Raw genomic sequence first — 25348 nt, forward strand, 5'->3', positions numbered from 1 at the left:
ACCTCTGGTCTGCAGGCCTGCAGGTACAGTGCTGTGGGCCACAAGGCACTGCCTGTCGTATTCATCTCCACTCTCTAGCACATCTGGCCTCACGCCACCCCCGGGAGGCCGGCAGGCAGATATCAGCTCCACTTCCCAGATAAGCAAGGGAGCCAGGTACTACCCAGGGTCTTGGGGGCCACACCGCTGGCGAGGGACAGGCTGGGCCTGGCAGACAGCACTGGCAGTCGGTGAAGTGCCCACCTCAGTGTCAGCCTCAGGTCCTGACCCTGGAGGCTGCTGTTACTGAGCTGTGGGGACCAGGATGCCCTACCATGATGGAGACCCAAGCCTCTCTCATGATGACTATTCCCAAGGGCACTGCAGAGGGGAGGAGCTGTCTCCTCCTCCGTGTGGCCCACGCAGAGCTGGTGCAGGTCTGAGTGAGCTCACCAAGACAGGCCAATCCCAGCCCCAGACTCCAAAGCGTCCCCAAGAGGTCAGGGAGAGGCTCTGTGCCCCTGACCCCAAGGATATGCACAGGTCACAGGGCAGAGCCCCCGCTAGACAGCAGGAGCACCCTGCTCTGTCAGCCTGCTTCCCCAGGACGGAGGCCCTGGTGGTAAGGCAGGCAGGTCTTGAGCCCCCACAAGACAGCAGGATACAACATAACCCTTTTTAATCTGAAGTGTAGACTTCATCCTCACGTTAGAAAACTCCATCTTTTTTTTAATCCCTAAGTTCTTTATCAAACCTTTATGTTAAAAATATAAATAAGTCTCATACAAAGTTCATGTGAATACCTCTCTGAGACGCATTTTCAACATTCATCACCGTTCACACGGCCCCGCTCCTGGGGCCAGGTGCCAGTGCGTGCCGGCCCCTGGCGTGACCCGTCGGCTCGCTGTCCTGATGGGCTACATGTGTGCACAGGAAAAGCAAGTCACTACCACTAGTGACAGTATTTCAGCTGTTCTCTGGACCCCTCCTCTTTGCTGGCCCAGGTGGCACAAGGGTCCCATCTCCCTGGCAGGTCTTAGCCGGCACAATCCAACGCTGCAACCGGCTGGCTCTAGGCCAGCATCTCTTCTTCTGAGTCTCTGCCTCCTCCTCCAAGCAGATGCAGGCTGTCATCTTCAGATGCTTCTGCCTCCTCCTCACTTCCCAGCGGGTCTAGGGAGCGTTTTGTGCCCCGCTGCTTGGAAACTGCTAGTGCGTACTGCATGTTATAGTGGTTCCAGCTACAGCTGTCAATCACACAGGGATGGTCAATGCCAGCAACGCCCAGGCCCTGGCCTGTCCTGCACCCAACCACCTCCTCTGTGACCCCTGAGAAAAGCAGCAGGGGCTGGACATGCCGGTTCCTCCACCCCAGCAGCCATTTTTTTCCTCTTTTCCCTGCCCCAACAATCTGGTTCTGCCCCATCCAGCCCTGGGGCAGCAAAGGCCTTCAAGGACCCAAGGACCCAACTGTAACATCCCATCCCTTTGGGGTCATCCTGGCAGCTCAGCCCTTCCGCTGGGCCCAATCTAGATGGCTTCACCAGCAAGTTCCACCAAACACTTAGGAAGAGACCGCTGCAGAGCTATGTGGTGTTGTGGAGCGAGAGGGGAGGAAGGCACGCTCTGAATCAGTTAATTTTCTGAGTTAATGGAATAAAGGAGAAAAGTGATGCCACCATCACTTTACATAGGAAAGGAGAACTGAAAGATAAATGGATGAGAAAGGAAGGAAGCGCCCCATCGCATCTGCAGGGCACAGGACCCTCTGTGCAGGACTCTTCCTGACAGCCAATGGCAACCCTACAGATTGGCAGTGAACGCCTAGACAGGAGGTCCAAGGAACAATGCGCTTACGTGAACTCTAAAAACATCCCATAAGAGGGAATAAATCTAAAGGAGCTGGGCCGGGTATGGTGGCTCATACCTATAATCCCAGCACTTTGTTTGAGAGGCAGAGGCAGGCAGATCACCTGAGGTCAGGAGTTTCAGACCAGCCTGGCCAACAAGGTGAAACCCTGTCTCTACTAAAAATACAAAAATTAGCTGGGGGTGGTGGCGTGTGCCTGTAACCACAGCTACTTGGGAGGCTGAGGCAGGAGAATTGCTTGAACCTGGGAGGCAGAGGTTGCAATGTGCCGAGATCACGCCACTGCACTCCAGCCTAAGCAACAGAGCGAGACTTCATCTCAAATAATAATAATAATAATAATGAATTAAAAAATAAATAAATACATAAATAAGGGAGCTAGACAACCCTCCTCCCCTACAGAGCTCTGTGAAAAGTCCAGGACATCTCAGCCGAGGGAAGGCCTGGCACCAAAACTGTGGATCAGGGCACATCCCAGCCTTCTGTAGGGCACCCAGAACACGAGGGGAGGACAGGCTCGACCTGGACTCCAGGACTCTTTCCAAAGACTGAGTGACACTTCAAGGACAGACAGGAGGACCACATGAACCCACAAGGCCCAAACTCAGGCTCTGCCCCTGAACCCTGGACAGAGCAACTCGCAAACAGGACAGAGAACAGACCGTTCAGAAACGCAGCTGGGAAACCCGGCAACTGATTGGCAACAGAGGGTGATATCCCTCACATGGCTACTCTGAGGCCTGCCTAGTCCCGGCTCTGCAGGACCTTTAGGGAAGGTGAATTGGTAGGGACAAAAAAGGCACAAACCACAAAGAAATGACAGGAGAAGAGGCGGGCACCCCTGCAGAGTGAGCACTGCGGAGGGCCGGGCCCTGTCCTAGGCCCGCGGATGAATCCTCGCAGCAGCAGCAACAGCACCCTTTTCTAGGGGAGCCACAGCTCAGGGCAGCCACACCTCCAGGACTCCAGGCTGCCTGGCCTCACAGTCCTGTGACCACCCCCACTGCCTGTGCAAGTGACCTGCAAATTCAGGAAAGGCTGCCTGGTCCTACGAATGCAGCAATCCCTCCAAGAGCCTGGAGGATTCCGGCCGCACCTGGAGCGCGCCACCTGCAGCCTGTCTGCCTGCCACAGTGCTCACTGCTTTCCATTCAGCGCCAGGCCATTTCCCAAGCTGGTCAACCACGGGGTGGCCGGGCAGGTGCAGTTCACCCGCAGGTGAGAAGACAAGCCTCCAGCACTGGTTCCTTTTGTCCTCAAATCAGATGACACAAGGAGCACTCCACAGTGTGGACCAGCAGGGGACCGTGCACCCCACCCACCCCCAGGCCCTGCACCCACACGTACAGTTTCGACAGGTCGTCCAGGTGCCGCTGGATGCTCTTCTGGAGGAACTGAATGACAGGCAGCAGCGTCCCGGCTCTGAAAGGGAGACTCCCTAAGCGTGCGGGGCTCACCCCGTGGTACAGTGGGCTCACTTCATGCTGCATTGGCATGTCAAAGTTCCCTTTTATCCAGCAGGACAAGCTGGTCCAGTGACCTGAGCCACCGATGAACTGCGGGGGAGACCCTCTACCTGGACTTCAGCTTCTGTCCGTGCAACATGAGCAGTTTGTGAGTCCAGAGGAGGTAGAATTCCAGGTGGCGAGACACTTCAAAGGAGGAAGCTAAAAACTCCAGCACTTTCTCCACATACAGTTCAGGAAGGGAGGAGGTGACCACTTCAACTGCAAAAGGAGAAAAAATCATGCTTATTCTGCCACCAACTCAAACCAGGGGAAGAGAGGATGACCCCGGCGCCCGACACCGAAGCCCCAACTCACTCTCGCCCCTGGGCACCGCCTCCAGGGCCTCCTGCACCAGTTTGCTCTCGTTGAGCCGGAGGGCCATGAGGATGGCCCTGGTGAAGTCCTGCTGGCGCAGTGCCTCGCGCACCCTCCCGGGGGTGACGCTGGTGTCCAGCTCAAACGGGTCAAAGAGCACGCGGGTGTCCAGGGAGTAGATGAGGAGTCCCTCCGTGGTGGTGGCCGCCCAGCAGCGCCCTGGGAAATTAAGCAGTGCTTTCCTAAAAATTTAAGCTCATTCCTCCCAACATTTTTTTTCTTTTTTTTTTTTTTTTTAAAGAAACAGTATTAAGTACATTCCCCTGGGACAAAGTGCAAAAATCAGGAGGAACCGGGACGTCTGCCTCTAGCCCCCACCCCACTACTCCCCTGGGAAGGAATGAATGGATCATCCCAGAAGTTACTCTCCCAGGGATGCACATATAAGCAAATATGTACACGCATGCGTCGTCCTCTCTTGACGCCGGGAGCCAGCCAAGTCTTCTGTCTAGCTCAGGCGTCTTCAGCTCCGCAGGCCCTGTGGTCTCTGCTGCACCTACTCAGTGCTGCACGGATCACTAGAGACAGCCAGAAGGATCCGCCAACAAAAAAACGCCCAGTAAAATGTCCCAGTAAAACATCAGTGACCAAAGCAGGTGGCCAGCCAGATTTGGCCCTTGGGCCCGAGGGCACAGACCCCTGGCTCACATGGGCCTCTCTGCCCCTGGCTCTGACACTCAGTCTAGGCTGGAGCACGCTTGCCAATAGCCCTGCTCCTGGCTCCTCTGTGTGGGGACCATGTGCACCGCCAGGCTCCACAGGCCTGTGGCACAGACCCTCCTCCCCACTGCGAGAGGATGGGGGCAGTGCGCAGGAGACGGGCTCTCCGTGATGGCAGAGCCGCCCCCAGGCAGCACGTCCAGGGCACTCGGGGAGCTGCTAGAGCAAGGGCATACCAGGCCTGCCATGTTTCAAAGCTCAGTGCATCTGAGGTTGGCACCGTGACAGCCATCCATCCTCAGGGACAACAGCCATCTTGTGGCCTGCAGGGTTTGCAGGGCCATGTTCTTACCCAGGGGCACAGGGCACAGCCCAGAGCCTGCAGACAGCTCCATGGTGGCCAGCCTTGCTATGGCACAGATGCCCCAGTGCCCACCGGCACCAAAAGCCCATGGCTCAGTGCTCACCAGTGGGAGAGAAGCGGAGTGAGGTCACCCTGATCTCAGGTTTGAAGTGCCGAGAACTCATGTCACCTGGGGAAAAAAGAACCGTTAATGATCACTGGACAGCATATCCAGGCTGCTCTCCCCACGAAGCAAGTCATCCTGCGGTCTCCCGGCTGGCTGGGGGGTGCTGTGGGAGCCCCATCAAGAGCAGCAGCCTCTACTCATTGGGTCCTGCACAAAGCGGAGGCAGAAGCAGCCCTTCCCTCGCTGCAGCTGCGGCAGGTGGGCCCGTGCTGGGGCCGCGGAGGCTGTTCCGGGTGAGCTGCCAAACAGATGGCCCAGCCCATGGGGCAGATGCTCAAAAAAGCCAGCCCGGCCAGCAGACTGTGTGTCCAACCCAGAAAAGGGCCCCAGCCCAGCCCAGGAGTGGGTCTGCTGTGCTCAACACGGTACCCTGGGCCTGCATATGGAAGCACTCAGGGTTTCTGGCTGGCGAGTGTCCCATCAGGATGGTCTACCTGGGACCCAGATCTTCTAGAGCACCTGGCTCTCTGTGCGGCGCACATGGCCTCACGCCAGAATGCTCCGTGTGCTGTGCAGCAGACGGGGCACCCAGTCCCAAGAGCAAATGGACGGGTCCCGCCAGGGCAGGGAGGCCACGTGTAGCAACACATGGGCAGCTTCTCCTGCCCAGGGGCTGACGGCACCAGCACCAACCCACTGGGCCTTTGACACCCCCAGTGTCCAGCAAATGTCACCATGTAGTAACTGTTATTTCCACACACTGCAGCCCCAACCAGGGGCATGAATGCGTGGTCACCCAGGACCGGTGAGTGGTGGGCAGATGCGGGAGGAACCTCTGCTCACCTTTCCTGACGCCTGGCAGTGGTATCGCGACTCCATCCTCCTGCCCAGCATCCTGATCAATTAGTGCCAGGTTGCCAAACTCTGTCATTTTTCTTCGGTTCAAAAATTCCTAGAACAGCAAAAGCAGTGGACGCCTTGCTTCTGATGGCCTGGCCGCCTGGCCCTCGTCTCCTACCCTTGCTCTTTGACCCCAACACCAGACAAGCCTCAGCCCTGTCTAGAACAAGGACGGGGAGAGAGCCCTGCAGTGCCCCAGGGACTCTTCCTGCAGAGCTAGCTGCAGACAGGGTGGGTGTGGAAGCTGTGGAGCAGGGCAGGTGCGGAGGCTGCGGAGGGGGATGGACTGAGGTCTACATGCTGGCATTGCTGCCACCATCACAAAGGCTGGGGCTCACAGCGAGGATGGCCGTCTACTCCCTTGTGAAAATGCCAAGGACACTTTCCCCCAGAAACATTTAGGGGACAGTGGGCTTCTGCCCCGATGGGGCGTGGACAGGTGAACCCAGCAGCCACACCCCTGCTTAGAGGCTACCAGGGCTTCCTCACTCTCATTCTGAGGTCCTGCAGGAGCCAGCATGTGAGTGGGACCTGAGCCGAGGGCTGTGCTGAGGGGGAAGGGCAGGCACCAGTGGGGACAGTGAAGGCAGAGCCTTGTACACAGGACCCTGGGCAGGAAGCCATCGGGCAGGGCCTACCAGCACCCTCTTCGTTCACTCCTTCCCTGACAGATGTCCGTGTCTCCTGAGCCAGCGTGTGCTGGGCACTGCCCCTCACAGCTCCAGCCTCCTAGCAACCAGCCTCGGCAGGGTCATCCACAGCAGTGGTTCCCAACCCCTGGTACTGGCCCATGGTCTGTTAGGAAACAGGCTGCACGGCAGGAGGTGAGTGGTGGGCAGGTGAATGAGTGAAGCTTCATCTGAATTTACAGCCGCTCCCCATTGCTCGCATCACCACCTGAGCTCCGCCTCCTGACAGATCAGTGGCAGCATTAGATTCTCACAGGAGTGCGAACCCTATTGTGAACGACACGTGAGGGATCTAGGTTGCACCCTCCTTCTGAGAATCTAATGCCTGGTGATCTTGATCTGAGGTGAAACAGTTTCATCCCAAAATCAATCCCCCCAACCCTGTCTGTGGAAAAATTGCCTTCCACGAAACCGGTCCCAAATGCCAAAAGGGTTGGGGACCGTGGCTCCACACACAGCTGAGGCAGGCGCTGGCTTCACGGCCGGACTCTGCTGGGGCAGGTGAGGGGCCCGTGCACTTAGATACAGGACAAGCACCACAACTGTGCCCAAGGCCCCATGGAGCCAGGAGTGCAGAACGCAGGAGCCCGACGCATTCCACCTGCATTGGAAGCAACATCCATCCGGCCCCGCGCTGGCGGCTCACCTCCATGGCGTCCAGAGACAGGTTGCAAGAGATCTCGAACCTCTTCATGAGAATCTGCTCACGGACGTGGTAGATGCACACGAACTTGGACATGCCTCCCGCCAGGATGCTGTGGCCGTCTGCAGAGTAGCACAGGGCGGTGAAGGCCCTGGGTGGAGAGGAGACATGGACTTACGGTGGCCACCACGGAAACCTCAGCGTATGGCTCCTAAAAACCAACTTTAGGCCTGCATGGTGGCTCCCGCCTGTTATCTCAGCACTTTGGGAGGCTGAGTTGGGAAGATTGCTTGAGTCCAGGAGTTCAAGACAAGCTTGGACAATATACCAAGACCCTGTTTCTACAAAAAATAAAATTAACAGGGTGCGGTGGCACATGCCTGTAGTCCCAGCTACTCAGGAGGCTGATGTGGGAGGATCACTTGAGCCCAGGGGTTGGAGGCTGCAGTGAGCCATGATTGCACTCCTGTACTCTAGCCTGGGTGACAAGAGCGAGACCGTGTCAAAAATCAAAAATAAAAATAAAAATAAAAATAAATAAAATAAAAACTAACCTTAGGAAATAGAGGAGATCCTATACCAGCCCTCCAGGAAGCAAACACCAGCCTCAGCAACTTTCGCCAAGGCTCGCTGCCTCAACTCACGCGAGACTTTTAAAACCCACAATGTCCAATGGTGCCATCACCTGGTTCCGCTCTGAGCCAGCACCACCCTTAGATGCTTCCGCTTCCTGAGAATCAATGTCTTTTTCACAAAAGGAACAAGTGGCTCAAGGAACAGTGTTCCCTGCTGAGGTCAGCACAAAACGGCGACCAGTCGGCCTCCACCCTAAGCAGCCTACTCTCAGTCACGTCTGCTTAGTCCTGCAGAAACCAGAAACCAGCCCTTACCACCCCGCTCAACAGACGCCTCGGGGTGGGCAAGGTCCCTTAGTTATGACAGTAGAGAACAAAGAACAACAGAAAAAATGAGCAAAGTGGACATCATCAGAACTAAGAGTGCCACCAAAACGGTGGAAAGACAGTTCACAAAGCGGAACAAATATCTGCACATCAGGTATCAGAGAAACCCCTAAAATCCACAACCAAAATCCAAACAACCCAATTCAAAAACAGGCAAGAGACCTGAACAGACACTTCTCCAAAGAAGACTTACAAACGGCCAAGCCGCAGACAGAAAATGCTGAATGTCACTAGAGAAACCACAATCACAACTACAATGAGATACGAATTCACATCCACCCCAACAGCTCTCATTAAAAAAATAATAATAATAAAGCAACAAGTGCTGGCGAGGAGGTGGAGAAGCCAGAAGCCGACAGCGTTCCTCGTGGGAATGGCAACCGTGCAGCTCCTCCAAGCTGGAAACAGAACCACCAGCACCCAGCAGTTCCACACTCAGGGCGAACCCATGAGGACTGCACACAGGCATTCATACCACTTCCAAGACAGGGTCGCTACTTCCTTCTGGAGGAAGACCCTCTGCTGAACAGGCTTCTGAGCTCCTGGGACACAGGTCCAGCCCCCAAGGCCACCCACCCCGGGCACATCCCACAGATCCTCCCCCTTCTCCTAAGCCTGACCCCCACCCAGGTGAGCCTCACAGCCCAGCCAGGACCCCGCGCAGGCAATTTGGTCAGTGCTGTGCTGGCCCGACTCCTTGAGACAAGGGGACACTATGTCTTCACCATCCACGTAGCACTCTCTAGTCAAGTGAGGTGACTGAGGACCTGCATTTTTACTCTTAGGAGGCTGCCAGGGCTGTTTTCTGCTTTTGTTTGTTTTGTTTTTGAGACAGGGTCTTGCTCTAGCACCCAGGCTGGAGTGCAATGGCATGACGCCATCCTCACTACAGCCTTGACCTCCCGGGTTCAAGCGATCCTCCTGCCTCAGCTTCCCGACTAGCTAGGACCACAGACATGTGCCACCACACCTGGCTAATTTTTCTACTTTTTGTAGAGATGGCATTTTGCCACGTAGCCCAGGCTGGTCTCAAACTTCTGGGCTCAAGCAAACCACCTGCCTCAGCCTCCCCAAGTGCCAGGTCTCCAGTGTGAGCTCGGGCACCCGGCTGCTCTCCCCTCTGCACACCAGGACGATGTCATAATTCAGGATCAAGGTTTGGAAGTGGATGCAAGCTCTCAGCTGAACAAGTTTATGTTCAGTAAATCCAGACGTCCTCCTGTGCTGGGGGCTGTGCGATCCCAGGAGTTAAGGAGGACATGGACTCTCCCCAGAGGGCTCAGGACCACCTGCCTCCACCCACAGGGACTCAGCGGTCTCAGGAACAAAGAACAAGGCCAAAAATGGAGAAGCTGCAGGAGCCTGGTGGCTGGCTGGGGTCTCAAATCAGGAGGCCCGATGCTGACACTCACTTCCCCTTGGCCGCGTGCTTGGCTGTAATCTTGTCCAGCTCCTTCCTGCCAGTCTTGAGGTCATGCCTGCCCTCAATGGAGCCCGTCTGCACCGCGTTCTCAGGGTCCCAGAAGGTGATCTGTGAGTTCAGTGTGGCCACAGCCAGCTCCGCACCATCAGGGCGAAAAGTCACAGCCAGAGCTAAACAGAGATGCAAAGTAAGGCCCAACGAAGACCCCAGTCTCCCGCAGGCAGGCCACCAACCACCCTTGGCTGGAGACCAGGCCGTGCCCTGGCACCCCTAAGAGACCAGCGCCTGTTTGGTCTGGTACACAAGAATCTCCTCCCAGGAGAAGCTCCAACCCAGACAGGTGAGGAACAACTCAGCGCCAGTGAAGAGCACCAGGCGGTCCAGCTGGGGCCACAGGACCCACAAAGGCCGATGGAGGGGGCGCTGGGAAGGTGAGGCTGATGGGTGAGTGATGGTGGTTACTGAGGGCGGCTGGACAGACTAGAATACAGAGCCTCTGCAAAGAAGCCACATGTGATGCCAAAAGCCTGGCCAATGCCAGGCCTGGGGGTGGGGTGAGGCAGCGGGAAGCAGAGAGAACCAGCCTCCTGGGATGGCAGAGTCTGTCCACACCCGGACATGGATGGGCTGGGTCTTTGTGAGCCACGTGGTCTTTCAACACCGCCGCTGAGGCATTGACAGCCACAGACCATATGAACACAGGAGGCCACGGCTGCCTCTAGTACAGCCCCGTCAGAAAGACAGGCAGTGGCCTGAGGCCAGTCTGCAGATCCCTGGGCAGCCGCATCTGGCTTCCGGGCCCACCTATGGCCCCCTCATCCTTCTCCCAGTCTGCAGATTCCGGGACTGGCCGCATCCAGCGTCTGGGCCCCCCATGGTCCCTGTGTCCTTCTCCCAGTGACACAGCCCTGGCAGAGCTCCAAAGCAACTCCGAAAATCAGGAAGCAGCTGCGGCAGCAGCCCTTCACCCTCGGGGAGCTGTTCTCTCCTGCCTGGCGTACTTGCCCACAGAGCGGGAGCCCCACAAGGACTTGTGGAAGCCACGCTGGCCTGACTCGCCAATCTGCTGTCTCCTAGGTACTGCCAACCTCAAGGGCTGCCACACCAGCAGGTCTGGATAAAAGCCACCCCCTGCTTCCCACCAGAAGGTTCACACCAAACCCACAACGAGGAACAGGGCAGTGGGTGTGACAGCATGCTGCTGGTCCCCAGGCCGCTGCTCCTGCCTGCTGCCTCGTGCTCACCATCAGAGGTCAGGGCCAGCGTCTCCTTGGTCCTCCAGCTGTCAAACATGTCCCATAGGCGCACCGTCTTGTCCCAGGAGGCACTGGCCAGGACGGACTTCATTGGGTTAAAACACAGACCACTGATGGGCCCTTCGTGTCCAGACAAAACCTACCGTAGAGCAAGGAGGCGTGAAGAGTGGAGGTGGCGGCCGAGGCGGCTCTCTGGGCAGCTCTGGGCCAGGGGCATGGGCCCTCGGAGTGTAACCTCAGCTCCCTGCGCTCCTCTCCCAGGAGACAGGAGGGCCCCTCCTGAGCCCCAGCCCAGCCCCTCAGGGTGCTTACATCAAGGAGCCTGCCTGTCTGCATGGACCACACGAAAATCTCAAAGGAGTCCTGCGCCCCTGCAGAGACGATCTCACCGCTCGCATCCACCGCCACACAGGAGAACTGGGTGGGGCGTGGAGAGGTGAAGGTGCGGAAGTTTCGGTACCTGCAGAGAAGAGGCAAGGTCAGAGTCACGTGCCAGGGTCCCCTGCCCCAGCAGCTGCACTGCAGCCTCACCCTCCACCTTCACCTCTGCGTGGGGGAAGCCTGCCCCAAGCCAATCCGGAGCAAAAACATCACCTGTGAAGGTCAAAGGCTCGCACGGTCCCGTCCATGGATGAGGTCACCACAACGTAGCCGGTGGCAGTAAAGGTCACACCGGTCACCCCGCTGGAGTGCTCCGTAAAAGTGACGAAGCAGAAGCCGCTGAGGGTGTTCCACACCTTGACCTGAGGCAGGACAGGAGGGGCAGGGGCAGACCCCAACCCTGTGTGCCACGGCTTCGGCCAGGATCCCTGTCCCCATGCCGCCCCATCTAAGATGCTTGCCCCTGTACTGCCCCATCCCTGAGACCCTACCCGTGAGTAATACCCCATCCCTGAGACCCCCAACTGTGACTGACACTCCATCCGAGATCCCCGCACATGACTGAAACCCCATCCCTGAGACCCCCAACTGTGACTGATACCCCATCCCTGAGACCCCCACCTGCAACTGACACCCCATCCCTGAGACCCCCGCATGTGACGCCACATCCTGAGAGCCTTGCCCCTGTGCCCACGGCTGCCCTGGCTCACTCAGCCTCCCCAACAGGCCTGAGGCTGTGCTGAGTGGGTGGTGAGTGGGCCGTCTGCCCCAGTCTCTTCCTGTCACCTCCAGGAGGAGCCCATTTAAGGCCTAGATGGCCCGCAGGGGCACTGCACACACCAGAACCCTGTGGATGCTGGCCGGATGCCAGCTGCCAGTACCATGGACCCACCCTCGGCCACGTACTGGAGCCCCTTGGACACTGGCTGGATGCCGGCTGCCGGCACCACAGACCCTCTCCCCGCCACGCAGCCACCACCGTGCAGGAGACCAAGTCAGAAAGGGGAAAGAGGGACACCCAACCCTCTCCATTCACATTTTTGTATGTTTTTAAACGCCTACTGAGCTCATGAGCCCGGGTGAAGCTGTGAACACCAGCCCTACCGTCAAGACACGGCCCCACAGACCACTGCATCTTCACAGCCCCCCAGGCACAGAGGCCAATGGGACGGGGACAGGAGCCTACCTTGCCGTCGTCCCCGCCAGTCACGATGTACTGTCCGTCGGGCGAGTAGGCCAGGGCCACCATGCTGTTGAAGTGGCCCTGCTGCTTGAGCACGTAGGACTCACTCTGCCACTCCCACACCAGCAGCTGGCCCAGGCCTGTGCACACGGGGGAAGCTGGGGTACGCGGCTCAGGCCCACCCCAGGTCAGACTGGCCCGGCCCACCTTCCCACTTGGCACAGGACTGAGAAAGCTGCCGGGCAGGGGGTGAAACGCACAAACCCCCAAGCATAGGCTGGGACCACTGCCCGATGCTGCAGCTTCACCAGCCAGTGATGGGCCCCGCCCGTGCAACCCAGTGGTTGCAGGTCACAACTGAGGCAGGCTATGACCCCCAACCCCTGAGCAAGGGGCTTAAGACAGAGAGGTGCTTGAGGAGGGCCAGAGCAGGAAGGGCACCCCTGGGAGGCAGCTGGAAGAGAAGAAGGCACCCCCTGAAAGGTGGCTGGAGGAGGGGAGGGCACCCCATGGCAGACAGCTGGGGGAGGGGAGGGCCCCTTCTGAAAGGCGGCTGGGGGAGAGGGCACCCCATGGAAGACAACTGGGGGAGGGGAGGGCACCCCCAGTGGGTGGCTGTCAAGTAAGCCTGTAGCCGGGCAGCACTGGTCCCTAATGGGGAGTCCATCTCTACCACCCAGGCTGGGGACAAACCTGAACAGCCAAAAGCAATCCAGTCCCCCGAGCTATTGATGGCCACTGAGGCGATGCTCTGATCTGAGATGCTGCAGAGAACGGGCCTGTAAGTGGGAGGCCAGCCTGCCCGGGCTGAAGCCCCAGTGCCCACTCAGGGCAGCCCCAGACACCAGATTCTATCCCTGTGTGCAGAGCTTACCCCACCCACTCACCAGACTCAACAATTCACTTCAGTTCAAGTATCAGAGGGCTGGGTGCAGTGGCTCACGCCTGTCATCCCAGCACATTGGGAGGCGGAGGCAAGGATTGCTTGAACCCAGGAGTTCAAGACCAGGCTGGGAAAACCCAGCAAGACCCGTCTCGACAAAAAATTTAAAAACTAGCCGGGTGTAGTGGCGCACACCTGTGGCCCCAGCTCCTCAGGAGGCTGAAGTGGGAGGATCATTTGAGCCCGGGAGGCGGAGGTTGCAGTGAACCGAATTACGCCACCGCACTCCAGCCTGGGCGACAGAGCAGGACTCTGTCTCAAAGAAAAGAATCAGAGAAGGCCCAGAGGGGAGGCCAGGGTTCAACAACTTGCAACTTCACAATTTTATGAGCATAGTATTTTCGTTCTCTGTGTCTCACAGATGAAGAAAAGCGGAGACAAAAACTTGAAAGGCTGTGACTGACCCGAGACCAATGCTGCTGACTGCCAGTGGGGGCGGCAACACTGTCGCACTGACCAGCACCAGCGGCCGGGCAGGTTTCGGGCTGCCGTCCTGTGGCCTGAGCCGGCGCTCCAAGTGGCTCTGCTGCCCCCACTGCTAAGGGCAGGCTTGGCTGGGCCCTCAGATTCAGGGCCAGTGAGTGCATAAAACCACACCCCACTGCGAGCAAAGGCTTACCTCAGGGAGTGGATGAGGTTAAACTCTGGCAGCTCATGAAGATGGAAGATTCCAGAAGCAAAGCCAGTGACCAAGAGGTGAGACTTCTTATGAAATGCTGCAGCTGTCAGGTTGTTAAAATCCCCTTCTTTATTGAAGAAGTACCTGAATTGACGAGAGAGAAGAGTTGTGAGGAGGAGCGCAGAGCCAGACTGCCACCCCAGCTTGCTCTGGGCTCCAGGACACAGGCCACAGATCCAGGCAGGAGGTCCCAGACCTGCCCTCTCCCTCTCCACCCCAGGCCCTGAAGCTGCCCGCCTCCATCCCAAGCTCGGGACCCCAAAGGAACCTCACACAGCATCTCCACTGTCGCCAGCTGGCCCCACAGCAGAGCTAGTGGTGCACCCAGAGACAGCAGTGCCCATGGGAGGCAGAGGAGGTGCGGGAGGCGCGGCATGGCCGCCAGGCACACCCGAATCCCATCATCCCCTGCTGCTTCCTCCTCTAAGGAACCCTCGGTCCCCATCAGCAGACGAAGGTGACCCTGATGGCACCCCCGCCCTCAAAACCTCCCCAAGTCACGTTGTAGCTCAGCCCTGGTCCTTCCCTCTCCTTTCTGGACCCCGTCCCTCCTGAACAAGTGACAGGGAGCACTGGCTGCCAATGCAGCAGGCCCTCCCTTCACATGTTTCGCGCTGACAGCCCGCAGTCCCCGCCTAGCAGGCACACTGTCTTCCTGGAGCTGCCTGGAACCTCCCTTCCCCAGGGCGGGGTTGGGGGGCCCATCATCCCTTCCTCTTCCTCCAGTCCCCGTTCAAGTCTTGACTCCAGCACAACACCCCCAAGTCCCCGCGGGCACTGACGGGCACGGACTCACTCACGGGCACTGACCCACCCGCGGGCACTGACTCACTTGTGGGCACTGACCCACTTGGACCTGTTCTGGCCACCCTCCAACTCCGCTGCCCTTGGCAAAGCACCCTCCTCCCACTGGAGTCCAGCCGGCCCTCCCTGCTCCTCAGACCCAGGGCTCTCATGGCCACAACTCCCACCTACCCAGCAGACCCCAACCCCTCCAAAGGCAGCCCGTTCTGGCCGCCTGGCTCCCTCCACAGGCAGGGCCTTGTGTGGGCGCCTTCCCCACCCAGGGACCCCAACTGCCGCCCACCTCCGCACGCAGCCACCTCATCACTGCACCTCTCCTCCCCGGCGGAGAGGAGGCCTCACAAGGGTGGGCAGTGTGTCTCAGTGCCAAGTTCAGAGCCCTGCACACAGCAGGCGCTAAGCAACTGCAGCAAGGAGGGGCCCAGGCTGGGGCACCCGGGTGACGGAGACACCATAGCTGCGGGCAACTCTGCCTTCATGTGATCCTGACCAGCCTCCCCCACAGCCCAGACGCGGGACACCCCGAATCAGGGCAGCATCTCTGCCAGGGCTCCAGGCACAGCTAAGGCCATCCCACAGGCAGTCCGTGGGGCCGGGCTCAGTCTCATCTCATCTCGTCTCGTCTGGGGGACTGAGTCCGGATGCGGGGCTGCACGGCCCAGCTCAGTGCCTGAAAAAGCACCAAGTACCACCCACCAGCGGGCCCCGAAGCAGGACTCAGACCACTCGCTGCGCCCACTCACAGCCCGGTCCCTCCCTCCACCCTTGCCAAACGCTCTCCCGGCATCTCCCTGCACGAGGCCAAGGGACTATCGCCCACACCAAACTCCACAGAAGCTGGTGGGGCCACAGACAACTCCCAACCCCCTTAGGGCCCAAGGTGCTGCTATTCCCGTCACGGAGTGCCCGCACACCTCCCTGCCCCCTATGCACCCCTACCCACCGCCCTCTGCCCTGCCCTGGGCACACAGGCAGCTCAGACAGCCGAGGCAGGGACCCTGCTTAAGGGGCAGGGTCAACACCCAAGCACTCGAGGGTGCTCAAACCGGGGCCCTGAGACGCAGGCCTGCTCTCTGTACCTCCCACTCCTCGGCCCTGGGGACCCCACATCCAGATCCCTCTGGGGGCAAGAGATTCCCACAGGAGTGCCCCGCCACAGCCCACCACACCTCAGAGACCTACTTGGCCAGCCGTGAGTACTTCACTTTTCCTGTCTTCTCCTCCTCGGCCGGAGTGGCTTTTCCCCGGATGGTGGTCTCTCTGTCGCCCTCCTGGTCCTCCTCCTCCTCCTCTTCCTCCTCCCGCTGCAACAGGTCTGCTTTCCAGCCCGCAGGGGGCTTCAGCCGCAAGCCCTCGGGGGGCGTGTCACACTGCCACATGCACAGCACTCCGTCCTGGCTGAGTGAGTACAGCTGCAAGGGGAAGCACAGGGTCACCCCAGCCCCAGCCACACTGGCCCAGCTGCCACAACCCGGCACCTCCCTCCAGCTCAGATCCAGGGACCAGTGGCACCGACGGCCCCTCTGAACTCTGAGAACAATTCTCGATGGGCCGCCACAGCTGCCATCGGTCCCTAGATGCCCCCAGGCCACACGGGAACAGCCTGGGGGAACCGCAGGAAGAGGCCGCCTGCAGCCTGGGGCCTCCCTGAACTAGCCGCTTTTGGCCACCATCAGGCTAGGGAACTTGGCAAAGGGACATACGTCCAGGCTGTTGGATTCAAAGAAGCAGGCCACGATGGCATCCTTATGTCCCCCCAGTGCATAGTAGATGAGGTTGTCCCAGCGCTCGGCTCCGAACACCCAGGTGGACATGTCTTTGCTCCCAACCACAAAGCACCTGGAAAAGAGGGAGATGGCACCTCCTCAGGGCTTGGCCATAACAAAGCAGCCAGGTGCAAGCTCCAGAGGGCTGCACGGAGACCGCTACAGCCCCACGTGGTCTCAGAGTGAGCTGAGACGCCTCCAGGCACAGGAAGACACCCCGGCACAGCCCCTGCCCTGTCTGCCTTCCTCACACCTCCCAGACGCTGTCCCTGCCCTGTCTGCCTTCCTAACTCCTCCCAGACGCTGCCCGAGCCAACCACAGCATTCCCAGTTTCTGGGACAAACAGGTGAAAGGGCAGTGCAGGGGCAGGAGGCTCGGCCACAGCACACACTTCAGAGCCGCGAAGACTCGACCACAGCCACCCAGCCAGTCCTGATGGTGTGGGCAGCGCCCAGCCCCAAAGGAGGCCGAGATGCCATTGCGGAACGAAGCTGCAGGGCCCAAGGGGGTGACCTGTCCAAGGGGCCTCTCTCAAGCCCCGCTCCCCCGAAGCCTCTGAGGCCGCACCTGGAGTCATCCGTCCAGTCGATGCAGGTGGTCTCATCGTAGGGCCCAAAATAGGTCTTGTCCAGAACGAAGGCGTTGAACTCCCGCTTCTTCCCAGGGGCATGATACATCTGGGCAATGTTACCCTTTGTGACAACAAACTTCCTATGGAAGGAACGCGGACATAGTTGATATTCAAGACCAGCAATGGCCCTAAGGCCACTGTGGAGTCTCAGCCTGCACCCACCTGGGCCTTCTGGAGTCCCGCCTCCTGCAGGATGGAGGCCAAGGAGCAGAGGAAGCAAAAGTCAGGGAAGAAACAGCCCTGGAGGGAGGGCAGCCTGGCCGCACCAAGCCTTCTCCTCCAGAAAAGGGGGTCACCAATGCCAGAGCTTGGGCCGTGTGCCCAACCCAACGTCACAACCCGGGGCCCAGGGAAACGAGCTGGGCAGTGGGCCTCACCGTCGGCATGCACGGCCGAACCCTCCTGCCCCCAAGCTGTCCCCCTTACCTGCCATCAGGGGAGAAGGACACACTGTGCACAGAGCCCTTGAAGTGGAAGTGGTGCAGCACAGACCTGCAGACCAGGCTGACCAGCAGCGCATCGCCCCCTGCAGGACGCCAGAGGTCACCACCGCACAGCTACCCCAGGGGCCACCCCAGATACATAGCACGGGAAAAACGGAGAAAGGTCTTTCTCGCGTCCACTGTGAGGAGTCAGGACTGAGAATGCCCAAGGGCCATGAGGCCCTGCCCTGCCACAGGTGATGCCACAGACACAGCCTGCGGCGGGGACGCAGCCTCGCCCATGACACCCTCATCCCCAATCCCCACCCGGGCCCCAACACGGAGGCGACTGGGGAGCGGATCATTTCAGACCCACACAGCCCTGAGTCCTCCTCACTGGTCCCCTCAGTACCCGCCCACATCAAGGGCAAGTACCTTCATCGACGATGATAGCGAGGCGGCCATCCGGGGACAGCCCCACGCACTTGACGTTGTACCGAGTGGCCAGGGGCAGCGTGTCAGATTTGTTGCTGATAAAGACAAAAACCACAGTGTGCTGTTGGTCCTCAAGTCACATGAGGGAGACAGGCCAGGCCTGGCCTGGGACCAGCGGCTCACCCTCCCCAAGTAGCGCCTCCAATCTTACTGGACCCCACAAGCCAGAGCTCATCTGTGGATACCCCCCACTCCTGAAAAAGAAATGACATTGTTGGCCGGGCACGGTGGCTCACGCCTATAATCCTAGTGCTTTGGGAGGCCAAGGCGGGCATATCATAAGGTCAGGAGTACGAGACCTGCCTGGTCAACATGGTGAAACCCCGTCTCTACTATAAAAACAAAAAACAAAAAATTGGACAGGCGCGGTGGCTCACACCTGTAATCCCGGCACTTTGAGAGGCCAAGGCGGGCAGATCACGAGGTCAGGAGATTGAGACCATCCTCACTAACACGGTGAAACCCCGTCTTTACTAAAAATACAAAAAATTAGCCGGGTGTGGTGGCGGGCGCCTGTAGTCCCGGCTATTCAGGAGGCTGAGGCAGGAGAATGGCGTAAACCCGGGAGGTGTAGCTTGCAGTGAGCCAAGGTTGCACCACTGCACTCCAGCCTGGGCGACAGGGCAAGACTCTGTCTCAAAACAAACAAACAAACAAAAAAACCCAAAAAATTAGCCAGGCGTGGTGGTGGGCGCCTGTAATACCAGCTACTCAAGAGGCTGACGCAGGAGAATCGCTTGAACCTGGGAGGCAGAGGTTGCAGTGAGCTGGGACCGCACCACTGCACTCCAGCCTAGGTGACAGAGCAAGACTCTGTCTCAAAAAAAAAAAGAAAAAGAAATGACGTTGTCCCTGGAGGAACTCTAGTGAAATGCATTAAAAGCCTTAAAAATGAGCTTTGGATACATCAATTCTGCTTCCAGGATGATATGATGAGAGGATTATTCCGCCTCAGTGTGACATCAAAATACCAGAAGCAAGCTAAGTGCCCAACAGGAATTAACCACCATGACAGTGCACCCATGTAACACTGTTGCTAGAAAAATGGAAAATAAGGGGCTACAGGAATCCCGCGGAGATGCTGCAGATAACGCTTACACTGCAACTGAGTGAGGCACACACATTCCAGCTTCCCCATACGCAGCCGAGCTGTGTTTACACCATACTGTAAACAGTACGGCGTAGTCTACTAGCGTGTGCTGTAGTCTGTAAGCGTGCACTGTGCTCTATTCGTGTGAGTTGTAGTCTGTTCGTGTGTACTGTCGTCGAAGTGTGTACTTTATTGGTGTGCGCTGCAGTCTACTCATGTGTGCTGTAGTCTATCAGTGTGCACAAGCATTCTGTCTAAAGCAACAACGTGCATCCCTTAATTTAAAAACACTTTACTGCTAAAAAATGCTAACAATCATCTGAGCCTTCAGTGAGTCTTCATCTTTTTGCTGGCAGACAGTCTGCCTCGATGTGGATGGCTGCTGACCAGGCACAGTGGCAGCTGCTGAAAACGGGGTGGCCGTTGCCAATTCCTAACACAACAGTGAAGCTTGCCGTATCGATGGACTCTTCCTTTCACAAGATGTCTCTGTAGCATGTGATACTATTTGATAGCATTTTACCCACAACAGACCTTCTTTCAAAACCGGAGTCAATCCTCACAAATGCTCCCAGCGTTTTATCAACTAAGTTGATGTCATATCCTAAATCCTTTGTTGTCATTTCAACAGTCTTTACAGCATCCTCACCAGAAGTAGATTCCATCTCAAGAAACCACTTGCTGGCCGGGCATGGTGGCTCACACCTGTAATCCCAGCACTTTGGGAGGCTGAGGCGGGTGGATCACCTGAGGTCAGGAGTTCTAGACCAGCCTGGCCAACAATGATGAAACTCCTTCTCTACTAAAAATACAAAAATTAGCTGGGCGTGGTGGTAGGCGCCTGTAATCCCAGCTACTTGGTAGGGTGGCCCGAGGCAGGAGAATTGCTTGAACCCAGGAGGTGGAGGTTGCAGTGAGCCAAGATCATGCCATAGCACTCCAGCCTGGGGGACAAGAGTGAGACATTGTCTCAAAAAAAAGAAAAGAAACCACTTGCTTTGCTCATCCACAAGCAGCAGCTCCTCATTCATTCAAGATTGATGGCAACATTGCGGCAATTCAGTCCCATTTCAGGCTCTGCTTTCATTTCGAATCCTCTTGCTATCTTTACTGCATCTGCAGTAACTTCTTCCACCAAAGTCTCGAACCCTTCAAAGTCATCCATGAGGCTTGATACTAAACTTCTGTCAGACTCCTGTTAATGTCGACACTTTGCCCTCATTGAATGAATCATGAAATGACAACTAGAATGGCGACTCCTTCCCAGAAAGCTTTTTATTGGCTTTTCCCAGATCCATTACAGGAATCACTATCTTTGGCAGCTAGAGCCTTATAAAATATATTTCTTAAATGGTAAGACTTGAAAGTTAAAGTTACTCCCGTAGGCTGAAGAAGAGATGTGGTGTTAGCAGGCATGAAGACAGCATCTCCTTATGCGTCTCCTTTGGAGCTCATGGGTGACCAGGTACGTTGTCCAACAGCAGAAATATTTTGAAAGGAACCTTAGTGGGTTCAACAATGGGCTGGAAAGATTCAGGAAACCATGCTGTAAACAGATGTGCTGTCGTCCAGACTTTGCTGTTCCACTTATAGAGCACAGGCAGAGTAGCTTGGGCATCATTGTGAAGGGCATTAGGATTTTCAGAACAGTGAATTAGCACTGGCTTCAACTTAATGGCCCCAGCTGCATTAGCCCCTAATAAGAGAGTCAGCCTGTTGCTTGAAGCCAGACACTGACTTTTCTCTAGCTATGTAAGTCCTCGATGGCATCTTTTTCTTTTTTTTTAATTTATTTATTTTTAGATAGAGTCTTGCTCTGTTGCCCAGGCTGGAGTGTACTGGCACGATCTCAGCTCACTGCAACCTCTGCTTCCCAGGTTCCAGCAATTCTTCCACCTCAGCCTCCTGAGTAGCTGGCATTACAGGAATGTGCCACCATGCCTGGCTAATTTTTGTACTTTTAGTAGAGACGGGGTTTCACCATATTGGCCAGGCTGGTCTCAAGCTCCTGGCCTCAAATGATCTGCCTACCTTGGCTTCCCAAAGTGTTGGGATTACAGGCATGAGCCACTGCGCCTGGCCATCTTTTTCCAATAGAAGGCTGTTTTGTCTCCATTGAAATTTTGTGTTTAGTGTAGTCAGCTTCATCAATGATCTCAGCTAGATCTTCTGGATAACTTCCTGCAGCTTCTCCATAGCACTTGCTGCTTCGCTTTGCACTTTTATGTTGTAGAGATGGCTTCTTTCCTTAAACTTCATGAACCAACCTCTGCTAGCTTCCAACTTCTTTCCTGCAGCTTCCTCACCTCAGCCCTCACAGAACAGAGGACAGGTAGGGCCTTGCTGTGCATTAGGCTTTGACTTGCTTAAAGGAATGTTGTGGCTGGTTTGATCTTCTATCTGGATCACTCAAACTTTTATCCGTATCTGCAATAAGGCTATTTTGGCTTTCTTGTAATTTGTGTGTTCACTGGAGTAGCATTTTTAATTTCCTTCAAAAGCTTTTTCTTTGCATTCACAACTTGCCTGTTTGGTGGCAGAGACCTGGCTTTTGGCCTATTTCAGCTTTTGACATGCCTTCCTCACTAAGCTGAGTCCCTTCTAGCTTCTGATTTCAGGTGAGAGTTGTGTGACTCTTCCTTTCACATGAACACGTAGTGGCCACTGTAGGCCATTATTAACTGGCCTAATTTCAGCATTGTTTGTGTCAGGGAATAGGGAGACCCAAGTAGAGGAAGAGAGACGTGGGGGGGTGGGGAACAGCCGGTCGGTGGAGCAGGCACAGCACACACAGTGCTTACCGATTAAGCTCGCTGTCTTACATGGGCACGGATCACGGCACCCCAGAACAATCACGATAGCAACAGCAAAGATGATCACAAATCACCCTCACAGGTATAATAAACTTTGAAATATCACAAAATTACCAAAATGTGACACAGAGACATGAAGTGAGCCCCCACTGCTGGAAAAATGGCACCGACCAACTTTCTCCAAGCAGTGTTTCCACACACCTTCGCTTCGTGGTAAAACAGCATCCGCACAGAGCCAGAGTGCAACAAAGTGAAGCAAAGTGCAACAGCACACAGGAAGAAACCGCTAAACCCCAGCGAATAAAACTGACCTCCGGCTGCAGAGCTGGAAGCTTTGGGCCTGCCCGTCCGACTGGTGAGGCCCAGTGGCAGCAGGGCTCCCGAGCAGGGGTCCAAGGTACCTTCAACTCCCCCAGCAGCCCTGGCCTTTCAGCCCTTAGGGGCCTTCCCTGATGGGGGAAGGGCTAACCCTGAGCTACACCTTTTCCCCCACCCACCCTTCACAGCACAGGGACAGGGTCCCTTCCCACAGAACGGAGCCAAGTGACACACCACTTTATGGGGCCTGGCTAAGGCACTACAACGAAGAACTGGGTCTGGCTGCCAATTTCCACAACTGATCTGCTGACCCTAGTCTGTCCTGTAGTCCTCTCCTGGGCTCCCTTAATTAACGGGTGCACCATTAAAAGGAAGGCACAGAAGACACTATCAGTTTTCATATGTTACTTAAAAAATGGTGATAATAGTAATCAGTATCACTATTATGAATACCACTTTCACATACTTACTTTTTAAGGTCAAATACAGTGACTCTATTGCCCACGGGACTGATAACTGAATTTCCATTGCAGGTAAAATTTAGGTTCCCACGCCGGTACACCGTACCCAGCAAATTTGAAAACTGTGAAGAAAACAAAATTGTCTTAACACAAAGAAAACAGTCGACTCCCAGAAAAGCACTAAGTGAGGCATCTGGGCAGAGAGATGGCATAGAGAACCCCACCTTGGGGGCCCGTTCACCTTTCCTGGGTAAGAGAGGAAGAAGTGAGCCTGATCCTCAGGAGACCAGAGGAGCCCGGGCGGCCCCAAGCTCCCACAGAGATGGGTAAGATGCCCCTGTGAGCACTGAGGAAGCCTCCCAAGACAGGAGGCGTCTGCCAGGTGAAGAGGGGCATGGAGCCCACACTTCACCAAGAAAAAAGCTGCAACAATGGAACAGCACCCCAAAAGTGCTTAGAACTCAGGGCTTCCAGAAGTGTGGTAAGCCAGCATCCTATTTACTAACTCACGAGCACGAGCGTTCACTGGAGACTGCCATGCGCACAGACACGCACACCTTATATTCTCTCTCTAGCAGGAGGGGGATGAGAAGTGTGGGAGCAGGGGCTACTTTAGACGGTGGTCACGGAGAGGCACCTGGAAGGGTCACCTGAGCTGGAATCTAAATGGGAAGGCACCAGCCAGGCCCTGAAGCTGTGAGTGGGCAGCGCCCTCAGGACCTCAGGGAGGAGCTTGGTCAGCAGAAGGACTTTAAGCGGCCAGGCAGGCTCCAAGGCACATTTTTTGCCACCTTGCAGTAGGAATGTGGAGCGGATGAAGTCCTGGCCTGTGAGGACGTGGATATGGTTTCTGGTTTGGTGCTGGGCACACAGCGGTGGCTCCACCAGCACAGGGGACACAGGAGCAGCACTCTGAGGGGCCAGTACCATGCCCAGTTTCGGACAGGACAAGTGTAGTACACGGTGGGCTCAGCAGCAGGCGGCCCGTGCAACCCTGGAAGCGCAACGGTCAGGGCCACTGTGGGAAACACAGGCGTCCCCATAACCGGCCAGCTGTAGCAAACGCTTCAGAGACCCCCAGGCCGGCTCCGCGGCCCCCTCTTATTACCTGTCTCACCCGCCTCCTGCACTTCACATCTGGGACAAGTCTTCCCTGGCTCTCAAAGCTGAGGGCGTCCGCCTCAGGAATTCCCTCCGGCCTCGGGAAACAGAGCTCACACCTGGGTTCCCCGCCCTTCCGCTCACCTGGACGCTCGCTCGTTAGGGACCAGTCCCGGGCCCCGGGTCCCTGCTGTTCTCACCCCGCCTGCGCGCGCCCGCGTCCCCGCCCCGTCCCACCTCCTCATCCCTCCCGAGGGTGCTGTGCCCTCCCCGACTGCACCAACTCCAGCCTTTAGGTTGGGCCATACTCAGGTTAAAAATATCCCGGGACCCCGACAAATGTCCCTGTTCCCTCCGAGAAGCCGTCGGCGCCTCCGTCCCAGCTCTCCCAGGAGCCCCACCACAGCCCCGCGTCCCCGAGGCCATGGGCGCGCAGACAGCCGGCGACCCCCACGCGGCCAGACGCCGCAAAAGCAGACCACGCGCCCCCAGCCCGCCCGGAGCCAGCTCAGGCGCCGTCCACCGGAAGAGCCGCGCCGATCCAACAGACCGCCCGCCGCCCGCGCTCACCCGGTAAGCGAACTTCATCACGGCTGTCGCACGTGTGCCGCAGCTCAACCCGGCGGCCGCCCACAGAGACACTTCCCGGGGGTCCGCGCGGCACCGCCCACAGCACGCACTTCCGGGAAGCGACGGCGTGCACCGCCCACAGCGCGCGCGCCCGGGACGGGGTCGCGCACCACCGTCCGCAGCGGCCCAGGAGGCAGGAGCTGCGTCGCCCTCGCCCCGCCCCGAGGCGGAGTTTGAACGCGAGGCCCAACCCCTCCCAAGGCGGGGCCTTCTCCGGGCCCCGCCCACACCCCGGAGCCACACTGCAGGGCGCCTCTTAGGCGCGCTCCAGCGCTGGGCGCGCTCCGCACGGACGCCCAGCCTGGCACAGCAGCGTCCACAACATGAGAGCGCTGCACACCCAAATGTCTTCGTTCTTGTGAACTGTTGGGTAAGGAATTATGAATAAAGTCCCGAATGCTGGCCGGTGCGGTGGCTCACGCCTGGGAGACTGAGGCGGGTGGATGACCTGAGGTCAGCAGTTCGAGACTAGCCTGGCCAACATGGTGAAACATCATCTCTACTAAAGTATAAAAATGAGGCGCATGCCTGTAGTCCCAGCTACTCGGGAGGCTGAGGCAGGAGAATGGCTTGAACCTGGGAGGCGGAGGCTGCAGTGAGCCCAGATCGCGCCATTGCACTCCAGCCTAGGCAACAGAGCATGACTGTCTCAGAGAAAAAAAAAAAAAAAAAAAAAAAAAATCCGAATGTTTCCCAAAAGGCAAATAATCTATGCCCAAGAGTCAGGAACAAGGACTAGGGAGATAAAACAATAAAATCTTCACATTACATACTGTTGTCACACCATGTCGCAGCAAAAGATCCAGTGCAAAATAGTTTCTTCTTAAAATGTGTATTTTCAGAATTACAATGCTTACATTTTAAAGTCTTAATACAATGGTTTTAATCTAACAAT

General features: G+C 57.0%; 1 protein-coding gene across 2 annotated transcripts, besides 1 other annotated feature; it reads right to left on the bottom strand.

Annotated features, from left to right (window-relative positions):
- Positions 1-25348: part of a sequence alteration artifact (region identified as an assembly artifact by the Genome Reference Consortium. This region falsely duplicates sequence located at GRCh38 chr21:44095806-44253496) that runs on past both edges of the window.
- On the bottom strand, positions 642-24429 carry LOC102724159 (periodic tryptophan protein 2 homolog). 2 transcript variants are annotated; one of them, NR_160695.1, is made up of 22 exons: positions 24394-24429; positions 22732-22844; positions 17981-18075; positions 17550-17649; positions 17060-17203; positions 16429-16564; positions 15908-16137; positions 13862-14005; positions 12993-13063; positions 12303-12439; positions 11330-11478; positions 11048-11195; positions 10724-10874; positions 9469-9649; positions 7098-7245; positions 5706-5814; positions 4860-4925; positions 4132-4250; positions 3673-3891; positions 3426-3576; positions 3197-3271; positions 642-1226 (listed from the first exon to the last, which is right to left on the bottom strand). NR_160695.1 is itself a non-coding variant. In NM_001368238.1 (21 exons), the coding sequence occupies exons 1-21, from the start codon at positions 24409-24411 to the stop codon at positions 1052-1054; spliced, it is 2760 nt and encodes a 919-aa protein (NP_001355167.1). In that variant the 5' UTR covers positions 24412-24429; the 3' UTR covers positions 642-1051. The 2 variants fall into 2 exon arrangements, 1 of the variants encoding a protein (NP_001355167.1); NM_001368238.1 differs by lacking the exon at positions 4132-4250.

This window comes from Homo sapiens, chromosome 21 (genome assembly GCF_000001405.40).
Source record: "Homo sapiens chromosome 21, GRCh38.p14 Primary Assembly".
In the NCBI taxonomy this organism is placed as follows: domain Eukaryota; kingdom Metazoa; phylum Chordata; class Mammalia; order Primates; family Hominidae; genus Homo; species Homo sapiens.

Bases quoted from the DNA above. Each gene is read 5' to 3' on its own strand.
- LOC102724159 (NM_001368238.1), bottom strand. The intron at 17,204-17,549 runs GTAAGGGGGACA...TTCCTTCCATAG, and splicing joins TCCTTCTCCCCTGATGGCAG to GAAGTTTGTTGTCACAAAGG. The intron at 16,565-17,059 runs GTGCGGCCTCAG...CCTCTTTTCCAG, and splicing joins GACTGGACGGATGACTCCAG to GTGCTTTGTGGTTGGGAGCA.